At 43.2% G+C, this 21,177-nt stretch overlaps 1 protein-coding gene and 1 long non-coding RNA gene across 14 annotated transcripts in view; one reads left to right on the forward strand and one right to left on the reverse strand.

Moving 5' to 3' along the window:
• The window catches only part of SLC14A1 (solute carrier family 14 member 1 (Kidd blood group)), a 28,340-nt gene extending 7,319 nt beyond the window's left edge, over nucleotides 1-21,021 (forward strand). For 10 of the 13 annotated variants that reach the window (NM_001128588.4, XM_047437758.1, NM_001146036.3 and 7 more), the window contains 6 exons: nucleotides 2,775-2,903; nucleotides 4,957-5,149; nucleotides 7,664-7,811; nucleotides 8,029-8,163; nucleotides 16,877-16,926; nucleotides 18,279-21,021. In NM_001128588.4, the coding sequence (NP_001122060.3) occupies nucleotides 2,775-2,903; nucleotides 4,957-5,149; nucleotides 7,664-7,811; nucleotides 8,029-8,163; nucleotides 16,877-16,926; nucleotides 18,279-18,452 (829 nt within the window). In that variant the 3' untranslated portion in view covers nucleotides 18,453-21,021. Of the gene's footprint in view, nucleotides 1-2,774; nucleotides 2,904-4,956; nucleotides 5,150-7,663; nucleotides 7,812-8,028; nucleotides 8,164-16,672; nucleotides 16,844-16,876; nucleotides 16,927-18,278 lie in introns of those variants that run through there. The other 3 variants (NM_001439164.1, XM_011526144.2, XM_047437759.1) reach the window with 3 other exon arrangements.
• The window catches only part of LOC105372093 (uncharacterized), a 176,501-nt gene that overhangs the window by 125,164 nt on the left and 30,160 nt on the right, over nucleotides 1-21,177 (reverse strand). Inside the window, exons 5-6 of the long non-coding RNA XR_935423.3 lie at nucleotides 15,627-15,778; nucleotides 5,967-6,095 (exon numbers count right to left, since the gene is read on the reverse strand). This is a non-coding gene — a long non-coding RNA (uncharacterized LOC105372093). The remainder of the gene's footprint in view (nucleotides 1-5,966; nucleotides 6,096-15,626; nucleotides 15,779-21,177) is intronic.

A 21,177-nucleotide genomic window follows, 5' to 3' on the forward strand; every position in this document is an offset into this window, starting at 1 on the left:
TTGATAAAATTATTTGTCGTCAGCATTCTATTTGGGAAAAAGTGCATATGAATTCAGAAAAAGTTTTAGTGGCTTAATAACCCCCGTTATATCTTGTTGCTATGATGAGTTTAGGAAACTCATTCTTCATAGACAGTGCAAAGGTCAGCTCAGCTCCTGGAGAAAAGAATAACCATGAATTCCAATTGAGTGGATTCTGACTTAAGAAGCCTTAGTGAGTCTTCTGATATATTGATTAGATTAAAAATAGCACACACTTTATAAATTGATCTGTCATTGAAGAAGTGATGAGCTGACTCTCACCAGGGCAGTAGATAGCTCCCCACTAGCCAGTTCCTTTAGGGAGGGAACCAGTATTCCAGGTGTCTGAGATCAACGCATAATCCCAATCCCCAGTGTGGTCATTACACAACTAAGCTCTTGTAACACTGGCTGCAAATTGCCTAAAGAGGTCCGTGGGGAGAGAGTTAGCAAATGCTCCACTTTTCTATCAATTTCAAGGAGTCTGATTTGCTCCCTGTAGAAGGGGATTTTATAGCTTAGGTTAAACTCTATTCCAATGCATGCCAAGAAAAGGTCTCCTCAGTTTGGGGATGGAGTCTATAATTGTGCCATACTGAATATTCCTTTATGATTTTGCTCTGATGAAACATGATCAACTCATTTTTTGTCAGATATTATTTAGAAGACAAGTCATTTATATGTGTTAGTTTCAAATGTTTTACTTTCCTTGGTCTGAAAAGACTGCATTAAAATGGAAATTCTCTGTTTTAAGTAAATATATGTCTTCCTGTGGCTTTAACTATGGCATTCCACAATTTGTAGATGTTGCCATTAATTTTCCACTGATCAAACTCAAGCATTAACATCTCCAAGTCAGTTGTTGAGAGGACAAGTCTGCATGGCTCTCTACTGTCATGTGTAGTCCCAGTCTCTGAGTTGTACCTTTGCAAATTGTATCACCTCCCATTTGCCCTCAAGGATTATTTAAGGGAAACAAAGAACTTTTGAATAGGGAACCCCACATTTAATGTTCATCTGGATTAATGTACGTGACATCATCTTGCCTGTTGCAATGGTGCCTCCTGGCCCAGTTAGAAACAAGCCAAGAAGCAGCTGTCACACTATCCCTTACCAGCCCCTGCAGTGTGGCTCACTGGCTATAGCACCTCCTGCTCGAGCCCAGCATTAGGCCTCACCTACTCACTTCACCATCTTTACTCCCCCATCCCCCTACAGACATCATCCTTGAGTGACAGGCCCTTGGGAAGTGGATCCTGTGCCTTTCACGGTGCCAGACGTTGCCAACTCTCAGAGCTGTGGGAATCCTGCCTTGTCAGGTCAATCAATCTAGGTGCCCATCAATGGTGGATTATATAAAGAATATGTGGTGCATATACAACACGAACTACTACATAGCCATAAAAAGGATTGAAATCAAGTCCTTTGCAGCAGCATGGATGTATCTGGAGACCAATATCCTAAGTGAATTAATGTAGTAACAGAAAATCAAATACCACACGTTTTCACTTACAATTAGGAGCTAAACACTGGGTAAACACGGACATGGAAATAGTAGACAACTGGGACTCCAAAAGAGGAGAGGAAGGGAAACAAGTGTTGAAAACCTACCTATCAGGTACTTTGTTCACTATTTGGGTGACGAGTTCAATAGAAGCCCAAACCTCAGTCAGCATCATGCAATACATCTATGTAACAAACCTGCACATGTACCCCCTCAATCTAAAGAAGGAGAAGAAGACGGGGAAGAAATGAGATTGAATACTAAGCAAAAAGTAACCTCAGAAAGAACTGGGTGCTCAACATGCACATAATTAAATGGGATACTTCTCCAAGTAAGAGAAAAGCAATTGTTCTTCTTTGCAATAACTTTGAAATGTGCGTTTGGAGACAACAAAATAGAAGCATCAGGACACAAAAATGTATACTAACCTGGAAGATTAATGTTGATAAGATCAAAGACACTGTGAAAGTGAATTTACATTTCAGGAATCTTATATCTCTCACCAAGAAATCAAACTTAAGCAACAGTTTCATATGCTAAAAGCGCTCTTCAAGTCAGAGGCTCTTGATTTAAAAGAATAACTTTCCAAAGGAAAGGCTAAAAGAAAACAGAGCAGATTGCCTTACTAAACTCCCCTTTCCTCTCAGCCACTGTAGACCTGTCTTTAGCCGTGACACCTGTAGAGGGAGTCATTCTCTATCAGGGGTCCCCAACCCCTGCACTGGAGACAGGTACCTGTCTGTGGCCTGTTGGGAACTGGGCCGCACAGCAGGAGGTGAGCGGTGGGCGAGTGAGCATTTCCACCTGAGCTCCGCCTCCTGTCAGATCAGCAGAAGCATTAGCTTCTCATAAGAGTGCGAACCCCATTATGAACTGGGCATGTGAGGGATCTAGGTTGCTTGCTCCTTATGAGAATCTAATGCCTGATAATCTGAGGTGGAACAGTTTCATCCCGAAATCATCCCCCATTCCCCATCCATGGAAAATTGTCTTCCATGAAACCTGTCCCTGGGGCCAAAAAGGCTGGGGACCACTGATCTAAATGCACATTTATATTTTTATCTATGTATATTTCACTTCATGTCTTTATTAGTTTTTGTACGATGCTTACGTAGACTTTGAAATACATTTCCAAATATAATCTCATTTTTTAATATGAATATGATCTGGAAGTTACTAGTGTTATTTATGTGCAAGTGCAACCAAAGCTCACCCAGGAAATGTCCGTGCTGTGTCTCTTGCCCCACAGGTCATTAATAGCATCTGGGCTCTATGGCTACAATGCCACCCTGGTGGGAGTACTCATGGCTGTCTTTTCGGACAAGGGAGACTATTTCTGGTGGCTGTTACTCCCTGTATGTGCTATGTCCATGACTTGGTAAGTTACAATTGGTTTTCAAAATGCCTTTTTGAAAAAAAAAACATGGCAGAAGGAGGGAATGGGAGTTGTTATATGGCAGAGTTTCAGTTTTGCAAGATGAAATATGTTCTCTGAATGTATAGTGGTGATGGTTGTACAACAATGTGATTGTCCTTAATGTCATTGAGCTGCACACTTAAAAATGGTTAGCCGGGTGCGGTGGTTCTTGTTTGTAGTCCAAACTATTCAGAAGGCTGAGGGGGAAGGATCACTTGAGCCCAGGAGTTAGGGGCTGCAGTGAGCTATGATTGCGTCACCGCACTCCAGTTCTCCGAACCTCCTTGCTTGGGCTAAGTGAGGAGGAGGAGGAGGAGGAGAAGGATGGAAAGGAGGAGGAGTAGCAGGAGGAGCAGGAGGGCAAGGAGAAGGAGGAAGAGGAGCAGGAGGAGGACAAACAGTTAAAATGGTAAATTTAAAATTGGATTCCAGTAGATTCTGTCTATTGGAAACAGAAACAACCATTTTAAAAGATGTATATTTCCTTACAACCAGTTATTTGGCCTTTTGTCTGATCTGGCTACACATCCACTAATACCTCTCAACCAGAGGTGGCTGCACATTGACACTTCCATGGGGAAGGGAAACAGTGCTGCAATGAAGATACGAGTGCAGGTGTCTTTTTGGTAGAAACACACTGATGCACGTGGCCCCCACATACACTTGACTCCTCCCTCCCAAGACTCTACTGTCATTGGTCTGCGGTAGCGCCTGGGCTTTGGGAGTTTCTAAAGCTTCCCAGATGACTCTAAAGTATAGCCAAAGTTGAGACCCACTTCCTCCATCATTGCCTCTCAAACTTGAGCAATATGAGAATCACCTGCAGGGTTTGTTACACCACAGGCATCTGCTCCCCGGCCCCAGGGTTTCTGATGCAGTCTATCTGGGGTGGGGCCCGAGAATTTGCGTTTCTAACGCATTCCCACATGATGCTGGGAGAACCACTGTGCCTACGTGAATTCCCCCTTACCCACCTGCCCCCCAGGTCTCCCTTAGAAAAAATTTTTTTGCTGAATTCCTTTTTTTTCAAACCCAAATCCTTCAAACTAGTTTTTATGTTGACAATGTCTTACATCCTTTTTCTGGAAACAAAGATTTCCTTCTTTCTATATTGTAGTTAAATATAAAATACTAATATGCACATAAATAAGCACAGCCTGCTGTGGGCAGTGTCTGCAGAAGGGATGCCCACCCTTACTGTACCCACGGGTGTGTGGACGAGGACCTACCTGTAGAGCTAAACTCTTCAGGAAGTAATTTGGGCCCTGCTCTGAAGAATAGGTTCGTGGGAAGGAGGCCTAGCCTGTAAGTGCTCACCACGCTCCCTTCCACAATCCAGGAAAATGGGAGTTCTGGTCTTTAAGTGATGGCTCTTTGATTGGGCCAACAAGTGAGAGCCTATGAGGGACCTCGGGACCATGCAGCCCAGCCCCACAGTTTATGGGCTCTGAGGCTAAGGAGATGCGCCTTGCCTAGGTCATGCAATTTATCAACAGCTCAAGGACACACACTCTGCCCCACCAACTGTGATATCATTTTCCTCCAGCTCACACTACCTGCATCCTTGAACGATTGTTTCTCTTTTCCAAAAATAGGTATATTAAAGAAATAATATCTGCCAAATCAGAATCAGGGTTGCCTCTAGTGGGGAGGGAGGGACATAAGAGCAAGTGGAGGGACAAAGGGGACTTTAACTATGTAGATAATATTTTATTTTGTATGTCATAAGTACTTCAAAAATATTTTTAAAATCTCAATATATAGCTCACTCTGAGCAACCCCAGAGTAGAATTTTTCAAAAGCCAAATAAGCTGAGAGTTGATTTTTTACTTTATGTAATATTTACTGCCTCTATAATAGGATTTATCCCAAGTTTTCTTTCTGTGGCAAATGTGCCAACACAACACGTAAGGGGCCTGTTGGCAGGTGAAACAAAGCCCCTCCAGAGTATAGCGATTCCGTGTGTCAGCCTGCTTTGTCACATGCACATTCTTTTGCTCTGTTCTTTTTTTAGCCCAATTTTCTCAAGTGCATTGAATTCCATGCTCAGCAAATGGGACCTCCCCGTCTTCACCCTCCCTTTCAACATGGCGTTGTCAATGTACCTTTCAGCCACAGGACATTACAATCCATTCTTTCCAGCCAAACTGGTCATACCTATAACTACAGCTCCAAATATCTCCTGGTCTGACCTCAGTGCCCTGGAGGTAAGAGACACTGGCTTCTCACATTCGCCCTGGCTCTGCAAGATACGCAATGGCCTCCTGGTCAACTGTCCACGGGTGTCAGAGTCTCCTAGATGCTCAGGACTATGGTGGCCTTTCTGCCTTCATCTTGCCATTTAAAGCATTTGTTCTACTCCAGAGCATTAGGGTCTAAGGGATTTTTTAAAATTACTATTTAGTCAAGCTGATTTTTCTGCCTTTTCCCCTAAACATCTACAGTGCTAACCCCAGAGTACAGTTCCACTGGGAGTCACTCTATCGTAAGCTTGGGGGTGGGGGTGATGGGAGCCAGCCCTTAAGGCATGTGGCCTCCAGCCTGGTTTTAAATCTTCCATAGTCTACTCCCTCCAATCAAAAAACTGGATGCTTACTCTTAGAGCTTCTGACAGAACCTCTCTATTCTGCTTTTCCTTATGGCATAGCTCATAGAACATCTACAATAATTTAGGGTTCCCAAGCTTTGGTAGGCATCAGAATCACCTGGGGAGCTTTAAATACCCAAACAGGCTTCATCTCAGACCCTCTAAATCACAATCTCTAAGGGTGGGGCCTGGAACCTGTTTTAACAAACTCCCCAAATTGTGATGCGGGCCAGAGTTTGAGAACCACTGTATCAAGGGGTGAATCCTATGTATCTCTTTAAAGATGGCTATAAAGAGATTCTGTATTTTTTAAAACCTGGTTAACCCAAATCAAATTCCAGCTCTTCCTGTTGGTGTGTAATAAATATGTTTAAGGTTTCTGGATTATCAAGAACAAGAGAACACCTGAAATTAGAAGAAAACCAAAGAAACCTTACCTTTTTAATGTGCTCTCCCACTGTCAGGTTATGAAACGCCCTTTTGTCTTCTTTGTTGAGTGATCAAAACACACGAGGAGCTCAAGTCACCTTCTCCCTAGCTTCTTGCCAGAAAACTAAAGGGAGCACCTGGAAATAATTCAGAAGGAAAAAATCAAAGATTCATTAGAACTACCCATGAAAAATAACAGTATAAAATAGCATTAATCGATCTAGAACTGCACTAACACAGGAGCCTCTAGCCCCATGTGGCTATATAAATTTAGATGTAGATTAGTTAAAAATTGAGTTCCTCAACCTCTCTAGCCACATCTCAGGTGCTTGATAGCCACACGTGGCTAGGACCCACTGTATTAGACAGCACAGATACAGACTATTCCATCATCTCGGAAAGTTATCCTGCACAGTGCTGATCTGGGGCAGGGGAAGCCTTGTCCTTCTCACTCTGAATGAACAGCCCATCCTCAGCACCAACCCCAACCCTATGGCTACCTGAGAGAGAGTTCTGCAGCCAAGTCCAAAAACAAACAAACAAACAAAAAAAGCATATGCCATCTTTGCCAAGTTCCCTGGTCTAGAAATAGCAAAATGTCTAGACATGAAGACTCAGCATGGGCTGGAAGAATTTAGAGTCCATCTTAGGGTAGAGTCAAACTCACACTATGGTCTGGTGCCCTTAGCCAATGTTAGACTCAGCCTAATATAAGAGGGGAGAAGACACTTCCCCTTGTGCCAAAGCTGGGGCTCCCTCTGGTAGAGTCACTGCCTCCAGAAGGTCTTTGGTACATACACGACCTAGCAATGGTGGAGAGGGCAAGATGGGAACTGAGGAAAACATCTTTCAGTAAATGGCCTTGCTCAAAAGGGACATGCTATGGCTAATTATGCCTATCCTAGCCCTACCAGAAGTTCAGCTGTAAAGAATGATCACTTGTTAGGTTCAGTTAAACCTTGTTCACTCCTGAGAACTGCAATTCTGTGAACAGAATAACTAAATTCAGGCCTCAGCCAGAAAGTAGAATTATGACATTTCCATGTATTTTTGTGTTTTGAGACCTGCTTGACAGTTGTTCATAACTAGAATAAGCTAAAAATATCTTTGTTTAAATGAATACATGTTCCACTTAATGACAGAAAAGTAAATTCACAAACTTGCTAAAAATTACTTCTAAATTGTGGACAAGATAACCTGGCTTTGGGTCTCTGGCTTTAGTGTAAGCATCCAAATTGCATAGTGATAATAATCTCTATTGAACATAGGGATGCATGGATAGATTAAATCACCCTCAACACTGATGGACATTTGAAAGCAAAAGAAGTGTCAGCTGTGGTCCTTGCCATCCCCAGTAGGAGGCAAGGCAGATCCTCATAGCCAGGAGCAGTGAGTGGCACCAAGCTGGGAGCTTAACAGTGACCAAGGCCAAGTGTCAGTGCAAGCAGGAGAGCACAGGGGGAGCTTTGAGAAGGCATGTGTTGCATGCACCAGGGAAGGGCTGGTGTATCTCTGGGGATAAAGCTGAAGGATGACTGGGATTTTTCTGTAATCAAAGAGAGAGAATTTTAAATGGTATTAACACTGTTCTTGAAAGAGGTAAGGTATGTCCAATCTAAAATTACATTGTAGGAGTTTGTGGGTGTCCTGTGGGTTTCTGTTCAGTTGTTTTGGTAGCCTCATTTTTCTTAAATTTCTTTTGCAGTTGTTGAAATCTATACCAGTGGGAGTTGGTCAGATCTATGGCTGTGATAATCCATGGACAGGGGGCATTTTCCTGGGAGCCATCCTACTCTCCTCCCCACTCATGTGCCTGCATGCTGCCATAGGATCATTGCTGGGCATAGCAGCGGGTGAGCACAAGAGCCCTTACCAAATATTGAGCACCTCCTCCATCCCATGCATTGCCTCAGGCATCTTCTGTGCTCCAGATCTTCCTTGAGATCTTGGCTTCCTAGGGACCAATGGGAGTTCCCGGGATGCTTCCTGCTAACTTTCAATCCCACCCTCAGTTTCCTTCCAGAACATCCTGCCTTTAGTCCTGAGTTCTGACCCCTCCTGTCTTAACAGGACTCAGTCTTTCAGCCCCATTTGAGGACATCTACTTTGGACTCTGGGGTTTCAACAGCTCTCTGGCCTGCATTGCAATGGGAGGAATGTTCATGGCGCTCACCTGGCAAACCCACCTCCTGGCTCTTGGCTGTGGTGAGTCTCCCACGCCCCTGGGGGAGGGCTGCTCATGACTACAGGATCTCAATCAAGGATAAGCAGTAAAAACGGACTGCATGAAAAATCAGGGCCAGGGTTCTGGCTTGAGCCCACTTGCTGTCTAAGTGTGTGAACAGGACAAGTGACGTCCCCTCTCTGAGAGCATTAAAATCACCTCTGCCTACCTCTCTGATGATTGTGAAGGCAGGAGCCTATTGAGTCATATTAATATCCTAAAACATGGATGTTTGGGAGGATAGAAAAAGAAAAATCCCAGTTATTCTTCAGCTTTATCCCCAGAGATACACCAGCCCTTCCCTGGTGCATGCCACACATGCCTTCTCAAAGCTCCCCCTGTGCTCACGGGCTCTCCAGCTTGCACTGACACTTGGCCTTGGCCACCAATAAGCTCCTAGAATGGTGGCACTCACTGCTCCTGGCTGTGAGGATCTGCCATGCCTCCCACTGGGGATGGCAAGGACCTCAGCTGACACTCCTTTTGCTTTCAACTGACTTGTCTTGCGTTCTTCAAACTAGTTGTTTGACCCAACAAACTAAACGGGAATAACTCCAGCTAAATACAGAGCAATGTCCCCTGGTAAATCAGGGTTGATTACATTTACCCCTTTGAGTGAGCATCACAGTAACCCAGCCATTCTAAAACTTCAGAATGCATCAGAATCACCTGAAAGACTTGTTAAAACACAAATCGCTGGGCCCCCTCCTCAGTCTGATTCAGCGTCAGAGATAAGGGGAAGAATATTTCTTTTTTTATTTTTCTAAAAAACAGTCTCATTCTGAGCCAAGATCGCGCCACTGCACTTCAGCCTGGGCAACAGAGCAAGACTTCATCTCAAAAAAAAAAAAAAAAGAGAAAAGAAAAAAAAAGAAAAAGGGTCTCATTCTGTTGCCCAGGCTGGAGTGCGGTGGTGTGAACACAGCTCACTGCAGCCTCAACCTCCTGGGCTCAAGCAATCCTGCAGCCTCAGCCTCCCAAGTAAAGTAGCTAGGACCACAGGCGTGCCACCATGCCTGGTTAATTTTTTATTTTTTATAGAGATGGGGTCTCCCTATGTTACCCAGGCTGATCTTGAATTCCCGGGCTCAAGCAATCCTCCCGCCTCCACCTCCCAAAGTGCTGGGATTACAGGCATAAGCCACCATGCCGGCAGAATTTCCACTTCTAACAAGTTCTCAGGGGGTGCTGATGCTGTTGCTCTCAGGATCACATTTCAAGAACTGCTGTATTAATCCTTTCTGACTCCCAGTGTTCTAGCCAGACTCAGCCTGTCAGAGCGAGAAGGCATCCTGAGACCTCTACTCCATCCTTCTTACTTTACTGTTGGGGTCCTGAGGCCAGAGAGGCTAAGGGATGTGCCGCAGGGAATCTGGACAGCAATGGGTAAATCCACCCCCGGAACCCACACTTACCATCCACCTCCAGAGTTATCCCACCGCACTCCTCTGCTTCCCTTTTATAGCATTCAGGCCCTCACGGCAACCTCTTAGGTGAAAACAGACTGCATGTGATTTGGATCTGAAAAGCTAATAGATCCCAGGTGGATTTTGAGTGGAGGCTCATTCACCCATAGCCTCTGGCATGCCTAATTCAATCAAAGTATAAGCATTTAAGATAATATTCTAGAGTGGAGAGAATGAGATTTGCTTGGGAACAAAAAGGAGGAGGGATAGTGTAATGTGGAGAAATTATGTCTAATCTAGTGGAAATATATGTCTAGAATCAGTTTATCACCAGATTAATCAAGCCAAGGTATCTAAACAGTTATGAAAACAGTGGGCCATGTATCAGGCGGGTTTAGAATAGATTTCTGCACTGGCAGAAAATGGGATGGTACCAACGGTTTCTAAAGACCCATTCCATTTTGATTCGATGCTATAGCAAGGGTAACATAACTCAGGTTGCTGTGATGTAGCCATGTAGATGTCATTTTGTCAAATTCTTTACTATTACTCAGCTATTTCACCTAGCTGTTCTGTTGAAATGTTGAACTCCTTCTCCATATTCGTTCACAAGGATAAAGGAGAGGATTACAGACAGGTGCTGTAGCCACCTGAGTTCAGCTGGGTTGGAATGTTTATCCTACAACCTTTCAGCTTTATTCTGAGATTGGTTAGGGGTTTCCACCTGAGTTCAGCTGGGTTAGAATGTTTATCCTACAACCTTTCAGCTTTATTCTGAGATTGGTTAGGGGTTTCAAACCTTTATTTGGGATGCATACCTTTATTTTTCTGGAGGAAGTAGCCACAAATATGTATTAAACACACATGATACAAAAGACAGTACCAGGAAGAGCAAGGGGTTTAGAAGCTTTAGGTCCCATGCAGTTCCTGCACAGAGTGTTACAATAGAGGGCAGAAGCCAGGCAAGGGAGTGAGCCCAAGAGGACCATGCAATCTTTGTGGGAGAAGAAGAAGTCCATAGTACAGGATTCTCCAGGGGGCCATTTCCACTCAGAATTATCACAAAGTACCTCCAGGAAGAAGGGGGCTTTTCCATAAATGCTAGAAAATAAGAGGAGGAATTCTGTTTGGTGGAAAGTGTGGTGCAGGCCAGCATGGGGACAGCCTGAGCATGTCCTTCAAGATCAAGGAGAAGGCATTTTGAGCACAGGAGATGGCGACGAGGTTTTTGTTTTTCTGGGTTTTTTGTTGTTTTTTGTTTTTTGGTTTTTTTTTTTTTTTTTTTGACAGAGTCTTGCTCTGTTGCCAGGCTGGAATGCAGTGGCACAGTGGCACGATCTTGGCTCACTGCAACCTCCGACTCCCTGGTTCAAGCGGTTCTCCTGCCTCAGCCTCCCAAGTAGCTGGGCTTACAGGCACGCACCATCACGCCTAGCTAATTTTTGTATTTTTAGTAGAGACGGGGTTTCACCATGTTGGCCAGGATGGTCTCAATCTTCTGACCTCATGATCTGTCCACCCCGGCCTCCCAAAGTGCTGGGATTACAAGTATGAGCCACCGCACCTGGCGGGTGCTGAGTTTTTTGTTTTATGTTGTTGTTGTTGTTTGAGATGGACTCTTGCTCTGTAGCTCAGGCTGGCATGCAGTGGCACGATCTCAGCTCACTGCAACCTCTGCCTCCCGGGTCCCGGTTCAAGCAATTCTTCTGCCTCAGCCTCCCCAGTAGCTGGGATTACAGGCATGTGCCACCATGCCCAGCTAATTTTTTTTTGTATTTTTAGTAGAGATGGGGTTTCACCATGTTGGCCAGGCTGGTCTTGAACTCCTGACCTCGTGATCCACCTGCCTTGGCCTCCCAAAGTGCTGGGATTACAGGCGTGAGCCACAGTGCCCAGCTAGTGATGAGGTTTTGACAGACCATGGAGAAGAATGAAGTCGAAGCTCTTGACATGTTGTTTCCCCAAAGTGGGAATCTTTGATATTTTCTCAATTATAGAAGCAGCACAGATTTATTGTATAAAACAAAACAAAAATGTAATCTGTATAGAAATGTATGAAACAGAAAGTGGAAATACTCCATCTTACTCCCTAGAGAGGGCTTTTTTGCCCCCTTCTTATAAGGATCCTTGTGATTACATTGGGTCCATTCAATAGTCTAGGAAATTCTCTCCATCTCAAGGTCTTTAACTTAATCACAGCTGCTGCTAATTCCCTTTTGCCATGTGAGGTCACATATTCTCAAGTTCTGAGGTTTAAGATGTAGACGTCTTTGGAGACCATTATTCTTCCTACCACACTCACCTTCCTTTGGATAGATTTTTTTTTTTTTTAACTGGTGTAGCATAATGGTTGAGGCAGTCAACTGAGCTAAAGAGCTCAGACTCTGGTGCCAGACAGCCTGGATTCAATTCCAGCAGGTCTGCTACTTACTAGCGTATTTGCTTATGAATGTAAGCAAATTACTTAACCTTTCTATGCCTCAGTTTCCCCATCTTAGAAAATGGAAGTTACCATATTTAATTCATACAGTTGTTCTGATGATTAAGTTAGTTAATGCATGTCTGAAACTCATAGAACAAATAGTGTCTAGCACTCGCTCAGCACTATTTAAAAGTCTGGAAAAACAGTTTTTCTGGTGGATTTGCATAACTTATTAAGAATCAAGCTTGTTTATTTTCTCCTCTCAATTGCTTAAGTTTATCAACATCTGTATCTTCTCCCCAAATATGACTGATACCCAAGCCTGCCTTTACTTCCTCTGAGAAGGCCCACCCCTGATGACTACTAAAACCATTGATACTGTATAGAATTTTTATTTTGGATTTGTCGTAAGTATAAGTTTTTGTTTTGGGTACTTGCTTATTTAGGCAACTGTAAACTTTATTAACTTGCTTATTCACTCTGACTTAGTTCATATTAACCTTCTGTACTTTTTTTTTTTTGAGACAGAGTCTCACTCTGTTCCCCAGGCTGGAGTGCAGTGGCACAATCTCAGCTCACTGCAGCCTCCACCTCCTGGGTTCAAGCGATTCCTATGCCTCAGACTCCCAAGTAGCTGGGATTACAGACATGCACCACCATGCCCAGCTAATTTTTTGTACTTTTTGTAGAGACAGGGTTTTGCCATGTTGGCCAGGCTGGTCTCAAACTCCTGACCTCAAGTGATCCACCTGCCTCGGCCTCCCAAAGTGCTAGGATTACTGGTGGATTACTTTTTCAAAGAGGGTTTGCAAAGAGAGTTTTGTTTTCTTCAAAGAGGGTTTGCAAAGAGACCTTGTATGCTGGAGAATATCTTCATTTTACCTTCATTTAAATTTTAGTTTAGCTAGCTACCAAACTCAAGATTTAACATTTTTTTCTCAATATTTTGAAAGTTGTCCTCAAAGACTACTCCATTGTCTTCTTATACCCAAAATTGCTATTAAGATGTCTGAAAAGAAACTAATTCTTGTTAAAATTGATTTTATTTTTCTCTCTGGACTCTCTGAATTTTCTCTTTGCATATGAGATATATATATGGTTTTATTTCACTATTATCTGTCTAGATGTAACTTTTTTTTCTATGCTAGTAGGTACTCAAGTCCTCTCAACATGAGCCCTCATATCTTCCTTTAATTCTGGAAACATCATCAGTTTTTACTTTGTCAAATCTTTTCAATTTTTCCCCTCTCCTTCTGTGATTTCTAGTATTTGAGTACAATACTTTATGCTAAGTTTTTCATAACTCTTGACTTTTTCTTAATATTTTCCATCTATCTTTTCCTGAGGCCCTTCAGTTCAGCTGATTGGCCCGATCATTCTTTGGCTCTGTCCATTGCACCGATCACATTATCTGTTGAGTTCTCCATTTCTGGTTCATTAATTAAATTTTACTGGCTGGGTGCAGTGACTCACACCTGTAAACCCAGCACTTTGGGAGGCCAAGGCGGGTGGATCACAAGGTCAAGAGATTGAGACCATCCTGGCTAACACGGTGAAACCCCATCTCTACTAAAAATACAAAAATTAGCTGGGCGTGGTAGCACGCGCCTATAGTCCCAGCTACTCAGGAGGCTGAGGCAGGAGAACCACTTGAACTCGGAAGGCAGAGCTGCAGTGAGCTGAGATCATGCCACTGCACTCCAGCCTGGGTGACAGAGAGAGACTCTGTCTCAAAGAAAAAATTATCGACTGTAGGTTGTTCAGTTTGTTGTCCTTCTTTTATGGTATTTGCTCTCCTGGGATGTCCCCTTTCCTTGTCCTGGGAGCTCACGTTTCCCTCGGGATACCAGCTGTTTGGGTGAGTCTCTGGGCAGAGATGGAAGCCCAGGTTGGAGCTGCATTTTTCCTGGTGCATCTAAGGAAAAAGGGGTCCCCTGCCACAGGGTGTAGAACCTCCATTGCTCAAGGCTGTGGAGATGGTGACTGTGTAGACATTTTATATGATAAGTGCCCTTTTGCTGGGGGAAGTTCAGATTGCTTCTAGTTTGAAATCATTACAAAGAGTCCTGAAATGAATATTTTTGGTACAAATGTCCTTGTGTACTTTGTACAAGCATTTCTGTAAGAAAGAAGATTCACCTTCTTTTCAAGAAGCTAAATTGATGGGTTAAAGGGAATGCCAATTTTGATTTCAGTGGATGCCAACTTCATCTCCAAAAGAGCCATACCAGTTTCCACTGCTGCCAGCAGTGTGTGAGAGTGCCCACTGGGCCCCCACAAGGTACAATCAGACTTTTAAATCTCTGTGCATGGATTTTTGAGACAGATCTCCAGCCCCCCTTGGAAAGCAAATCTCACATGTAAAATGCCACAGCAAGTTTCAGCTTGTCCACATCACCCTGATACTGCCAAACAAAAGACCAACCCTCTTAGCCAACATAAATAAGTGACAGACATTTATTACAGAGCTGTTTTTTTATCAGTCCCCAGTGGCTTTATCAGGAAGTGGACTCAGGAAACTCTGACAGAACCTGGCACTGCTGTCTTTCTGGCCTCTAAGCCAGAGCAACTGCGTGGCCAGAGAACATCTCAATGTTGTTGTTTTACCAGTGGAGAGTGTAAACATATTGTGTATCTCTTCCCAATGGTTGGGTTATCGCAGTGGGACTCACCTGTGGCAGTCCATTGGAAGGGACACTATCCAGGAGGAGCTGAAATCCAGTTTCCCCTTCAGTACTCAAGGGCCTTTTCTTCCCTCAGCTACCAAGAATGCTGTCAGGGTCATTGCCTACAAACTGATGATGCTGTGCAGAATTGCGCCTCTACTGTAAGGCTTTCCCGGTCCTACTTGGCGAGTCTTAATTGACATACCTACCATTAAATAATCTATCACTTGTACTATGGAGAGAAAAGCAACTTTGAATTGGAGATCACTTCACAGCAGCATAACAGTATGAGACGTAAACGTGCCAAAAGTGAGCCTTAGAAGTGTAATGGATATTTTAAAAAGAGAGAAAGCAACAAGGCCTCATGTGCTCAGGGGTGGTGTTGTGGTAGAGGGGGCACTCAAGAGATCAGGGACAGAGGGCCCCAGTGCTTGGCAGAGGGCCAATGAATAGTTGTTAAATTAATTGATTAAATTTCAACAATGAATGAAATTGGTGTAACCAAGGAGAGAAACCCTTCTAAGCCAAGCCATGAGCACCCTTCTGCTCAGAGCAGTAGCTCAGTCCCATGGTGAAAGAGATGCATTTACAGCTGTGTTTATGGAAATACAAGCTCTCATTTGAGATTCTTCACCTCCCAGTAAGGCAGATCTTCAAGGTGCCTTTTTACAGATGATGAAACTAGATTCCAAGACAGTGATTTGTTATACAACAAATAAAATGGCAGAGCTGGGATTTGAAACCAGTACTGTTTCCAAAGACCAGCCTTTCCCACTAGTGTGAGACAATTCATACGTGAAAGAATTTGATATACTATTGAATAAGAAACACCAGGATAAAAAGACAAAATATTGGTAAAAGGACAGAAGTCTATGGTAAAGTAAATGAGGATCACAGAGCCTCTCCCACCATGTCTGCCACATCCCCACACACCAAGATAGCTGACGTACCAGACATGAAGACGAGATGGTGAGTGTGTCTCACGGTGAGCTCCGGTGGCCCAAGTGGCTGTGTGGCCATTATATGAAGGTCATTCTTCAGGCTGTCCCCATGAAACCTGAGGGCTTCCCTGAGCCTCTGTGAGCCTTCTCTTCAACCAAAACTGAGGAATAGATAATTAGCTGGTTGAGATCTTTGCTTTTGTTGTTTTACACTGAAAGTCACCCATATACTCGAATTACTGATTCTACAATTTTTTGGCCACTCAAAGCAAATAAAAACATAAGACGTTGGCTGGGCGCGGTGGCTCATGCCTGTAATCCCAGCACTTTGGGAGGCCGAGACGGGCAGATGACAAGGTCAGGAGATTGAGACCATCCTGGTTAACATGGTGAAACCCCGTCTCTACTAACAATACAAAAAAAAAAAAATTAGCTGGGCGTAGTGGTGGGCACCTGTAGTCCCAGCTACTCGGGAGGCTGAGGCAGGAGAATGGCGTGAACCCAGGAGGCGGAGCTTGCAGTGAGCAGAGATCACGCCAGTGCCCTCCAGCCTGGGCGACTGAGTGAGACTCCATCTCCAAAAAAAATAAAAAATAAAAAAAAAGACGTTTATTCATTGATTTTAATGGTATTGGAGAAGATGTTATCAAGGGGAGGAATCTCAAGTTTGTGTTCAGTTCCTGCTGTTCTCTGAGTTCTTTCCTTCTTATTTTGTAAACATGGTTTTGTTTTGGTTTTTAGTACACAGGCTGCCAAAGCAAGCACTATGATTTTTTGTAGCTGTGAATTCAATTCATTAATATGAGAATCCTAGATGCTATCTCAAGAAACATTCATAGGTTTCATTTTAATTCAGCTATGCTTGGATAAAACATCAGAGAAATTTATTTGCCATGGAAGGCCTTTCCCTTAAGTATTAGCAATAACAACAAAATAGTAACCATAAAAAAACTACCTTTATTGAGCACTTACTGTGTGCTAAACACATGCATTATTTCCTTTCATCCTCACACCAACACCATGAAAAATATATTCCTCTTACTTCCATTGTACAGGTGAGGAAATGGAGGCTTAAAACAGAGCCCATGGAGCTCCTAAGTGATGGAGCCAGGATTTGAACCCAGGACTGCTGACTTTAGGCTCATGCTTGTAATCAGGGCACTGTGCATTCCAGGTGATTTATATTGGAAGGCAGCCTTTCCTGTGATTAAAAGTGCATCTACGAAGCATTGTTCTTTCCCTCCTTTTTTTTTCTGTAGCCCTGTTCACGGCCTATCTTGGAGTCGGCATGGCAAACTTTATGGCTGAGGTGAGTTTGCTTTAGTCTCACTTTTCATTAGCGTAATTGACCAGCTTACAACTATATGGGAAATGCTCCTGAAGTCCACTGGGCTGGCATCCAGTGGCAGGATCCATGACCATGAGAAGCACTGCTCTCCCTTCTCCTGGAGCTCCCTGGCCTTTCTTTCAGCATCACAGCAAACTTTAGTCCAAACCACAATCACCCAGTTGTTACAAGTATCAGATTGCTTGGTTTAAAAAAAAATGAAACGTAGGTTGTATAACATATTATCAAGTTCAGAGTCTAACTCTAAGTGATAAGAAGTAGACTTTAGGATATCTTTTACTTAAACAGAAAGCCAGATATTCCATTGCAGGTGATGCAGGGCCGGTTTCTGATAGCTTAGTCCATGTTGATGTGGTCATGGCTGCTAAGGAGTCAAGGCAGTATCTAGCCCTTTTGGCAGCAGCATGGAGATTTTATCTGGGAGGGTCCTTAAGGAGACACAGTGTCTTTCTGGTGGAAAGCCAAAGTCCCATTACACACATGCATGATGGAGAGTACATCAGAGCACATGGGGCCCTTCACATGTCAACAAAGAAGATTCACAGGCATCAGTCCCAGGACCCAAATGGGCAAGCTGCACACCAGAGTCAGCTAGGAAGACAGAAAAATATGGAGCCTTAGGCCCTGTCCTTTGGTATTTCTGATAGAGTAGGTCTTGTATGATGCTTGAACATCTGTGTTTTTTTTTAACTCCCCCAGATGATTCTGATGTGCAGTCAGATTAGGGTACCCCTACACTCCATCACACCCCAGGGAGGTCCATGCATCAGGTCAGAGCTAACCAATGGTGTATGCTCAGAATTGTGTGAGTTTCCATGAGCAGCACAAAGAGGACCTACCCTCAAGGAACTTAGAGTCTATTTGGGAGACAGAATGGAAAGAAACAAAGCAAGTCAAGTCTAAGATCTAGACCAGGCAGAAGTCAAGGTCAGAGAGGTCACTGTGGGCTGGACTAATCAGAGAAGGCCTTGTGGACATGAAGACTGGTCAGGGGCCATTTGCAGTTTGCAAGTGTCATCTCTGTCAAATGTTCTCTTGGCACATCTGGTGCAGGAAGTCTGAATATATGAGAGGGAGAGAAAGACATACAAGATAGAGACATAAGTGGCTGCCCTAAAGAATGGATGTCAACATTCCAACAACTCAATGCCCTGAGATTGTAAATTCAGTCTCCACGAGCATGCACAGAATCCAGAGCAATGCCCCCAGTGGTTCATCCCCCTGGGCTGAATGCAAGTAGAGGGGGATGCCTTGTGCAGCTCAGCTGTCAGATGGGATCTGAAAGGAGCGTGTGGCTTTCTCTTCTTCCCCAGGTTGGATTGCCAGCTTGTACCTGGCCCTTCTGTTTGGCCACGCTATTGTTCCTCATCATGACCACAAAAAATTCCAACATCTACAAGATGCCCCTCAGTAAAGTTACTTATCCTGAAGAAAACCGCATCTTCTACCTGCAAGCCAAGAAAAGAATGGTGGAAAGCCCTTTGTGAGAACAAGCCCCATTTGCAGCCATGGTCACGAGTCATTTCTGCCTGACTGCTCCAGCTAACTTCCAGGGTCTCAGCAAACTGCTGTTTTTCACGAGTATCAACTTTCATACTGACGCGTCTGTAATCTGTTCTTATGCTCATTTTGTATTTTCCTTTCAACTCCAGGAATATCCTTGAGCATATGAGAGTCACATCCAGGTGATGTGCTCTGGTATGGAATTTGAAACCCCAATGGGGCCTTGGCACTAAGACTGGAATGTATATAAAGTCAAAGTGCTCCAACAGAAGGAGGAAGTGAAAACAAACTATTAGTATTTATTGATATTCTTGGTGTTTAGCTGGCTCGATGATGTTAACAGTATTAAAAATTAAACCCCATAAACCAACTAAGCCTTATGGAATTCACAGTCACAAAATCGAAGTTAATCCAGAATTCTGTGATAAGCAGCTTGGCTTTTTTTTTAAATCAATGCAAGTTACACATTATAGCCAGAATCTGTATCACAGAGGTGCAAGCTGACAGCAGAGCTCAGTCCCCACTTCCTGCAAACAATGGCCTGCACCCTATCCCTTGTGTGTGTGACATTCTCTCATGGGACAATGTTGGGGTTTTTCAGACTGACAGGACTGCAAGAGGGAGAAAGGAATTTTGTCAATCAAAATTATTCTGTATTGCAACTTTTCTCAGAGATTGCAAAGGATTTTTTAGGTAGAGATTATTTTTCCTTATGAAAAATGATCTGTTTTAAATGAGATAAAATAGGAGAAGTTCCTGGCTTAACCTGTTCTTACATATTAAAGAAAAGTTACTTACTGTATTTATGAAATACTCAGCTTAGGCATTTTTACTTTAACCCCTAAATTGATTTTGTAAATGCCACAAATGCATAGAATTGTTACCAACCTCCAAAGGGCTCTTTAAAATCATATTTTTTATTCATTTGAGGATGTCTTATAAAGACTGAAGGCAAAGGTCAGATTGCTTACGGGTGTTATTTTTATAAGTTGTTGAATTCCTTAATTTAAAAAAGCTCATTATTTTTTGCACACTCACAATATTCTCTCTCAGAAATCAATGGCATTTGAACCACCAAAAAGAAATAAAGGGCTGAGTGCGGTGGCTCACGCCTGTAATCCCAGCACTTTGGGGAGCCCAGGCGGGCAGATTGCTTGAACCCAGGAGTTCAAGACCAGCCTGGGCAGCATGGTGAAACCCTGTATCTACAAAAAATACAAAAATTAGCCAGGCATGGTGGTGGGTGCCTGTAGTTCCAGCTACTTGGGAGGCTGAGGTGGGAAAATGACTTGAGCCCAGGAGGAGGAGGCTGCAGTGAGCTAAGATTGCACCACTGCACTCCAACCTGGGCGACAAGAGTGAAACTGTGTCTCTCAAAAAAAAAAAAAAACAAACAAAAACAAAAACAAAACAAAACAAAACAAAACAAAACAGGTAAGGATTCCCCTGTTTTCCTCTCTTTAATTTTAAAGTTATCAGTTCCGTAAAGTCTCTGTAACCAAACATACTGAAGACAGCAACAGAAGTCACGTTCAGGGACTGGCTCACACCTGTAATCCCAGCACTTTGGGAGATGGAGGTAAAAGGATCTCTTGAGCCCAGGAGTTCAAGACCAGCTTGGGCAACATAGCAAGACTCCATCTCTTAAAAAATAAAAATAGTAACATTAGCCAGGTGTAGCAGCACACATCTGCAGCAGCTACTCAGGAGGCTGAGGTGGAAAGATCGCTTGTGCACAGAAGTTCGAGGCTGCAGTGAGCTATATGATCATGTCACTGCACTCCAGCCTGTGTGACCGAGCAAGACCCTATCTCAAAAAAATTAATTAATTAATTAATTAATTAATTTAAAAAGGAAGTCATGTTCATTTACTTTCCACTTCAGTGTGTATCGTGTAGTATTTTGGAGGTTGGAAAGTGAAACGTAGGAATCCTGAAGATTTTTTCCACTTCTAGTTTGCAGTGCTCAGTGCACAATATACATTTTGCTGAATGAATAAACAGAAATAGGGAAGTAAACCTACAAATATTTTAGGGAGAAGCTCACTTCTTCCTTTTCTCAGGAAACCAAGCAAGCAAACATATCGTTCCAATTTTAAAACCCAGTGACCAAAGCCTTTGGAACTATGAATTTGCAACTGTCATAGGTTTATGGATATTGCTGTGGAGAAGCTCAATTTTCAGTGTTTGAACTGAACCCTTTCTTGTTAGGGAACGTGTGAAAGAAGAATTGTGGGGAAAAAAAAGCAAGCATAACCAAAGATCATCAGCAGTGAAGAATCTAGGCTGTGGCTGAGAGAACCAGAGGCCTCTAAAATGGACCCGAGTCGATCTTCAGAACAGGGATCTACCATGCAGGAGCTTCTTGTGCTCACACAAATCTGTAAATGGGAACATTGTACATTGTCGAATTTAAATGATATTAATTTTCTCAAGCTATTTTTGTTACTATTTTCCTAAAATTGAATATTTGCAGGGAGCACTTATACTTTTTCCTAATGTCTGTATAACAAATTTCTATGCAAGTACATGAATAAATTATGCTCACAGCTCAGTTTTGTATAATGTGCCATTTATAGCCATCATGTATATGAACAATCACAGGCATAAGTAGGTATCGCTTATGTTGCACGTGCTAGAATCCTTATTCCTTTCTTACACTTGGTAATAGCACCAGATGTATAGTTGAGTAAACCCTTTTCAATTTCAG

This window comes from Homo sapiens, chromosome 18 (assembly GCF_000001405.40).
Source record: "Homo sapiens chromosome 18, GRCh38.p14 Primary Assembly".
Classification (NCBI taxonomy): domain Eukaryota; kingdom Metazoa; phylum Chordata; class Mammalia; order Primates; family Hominidae; genus Homo; species Homo sapiens.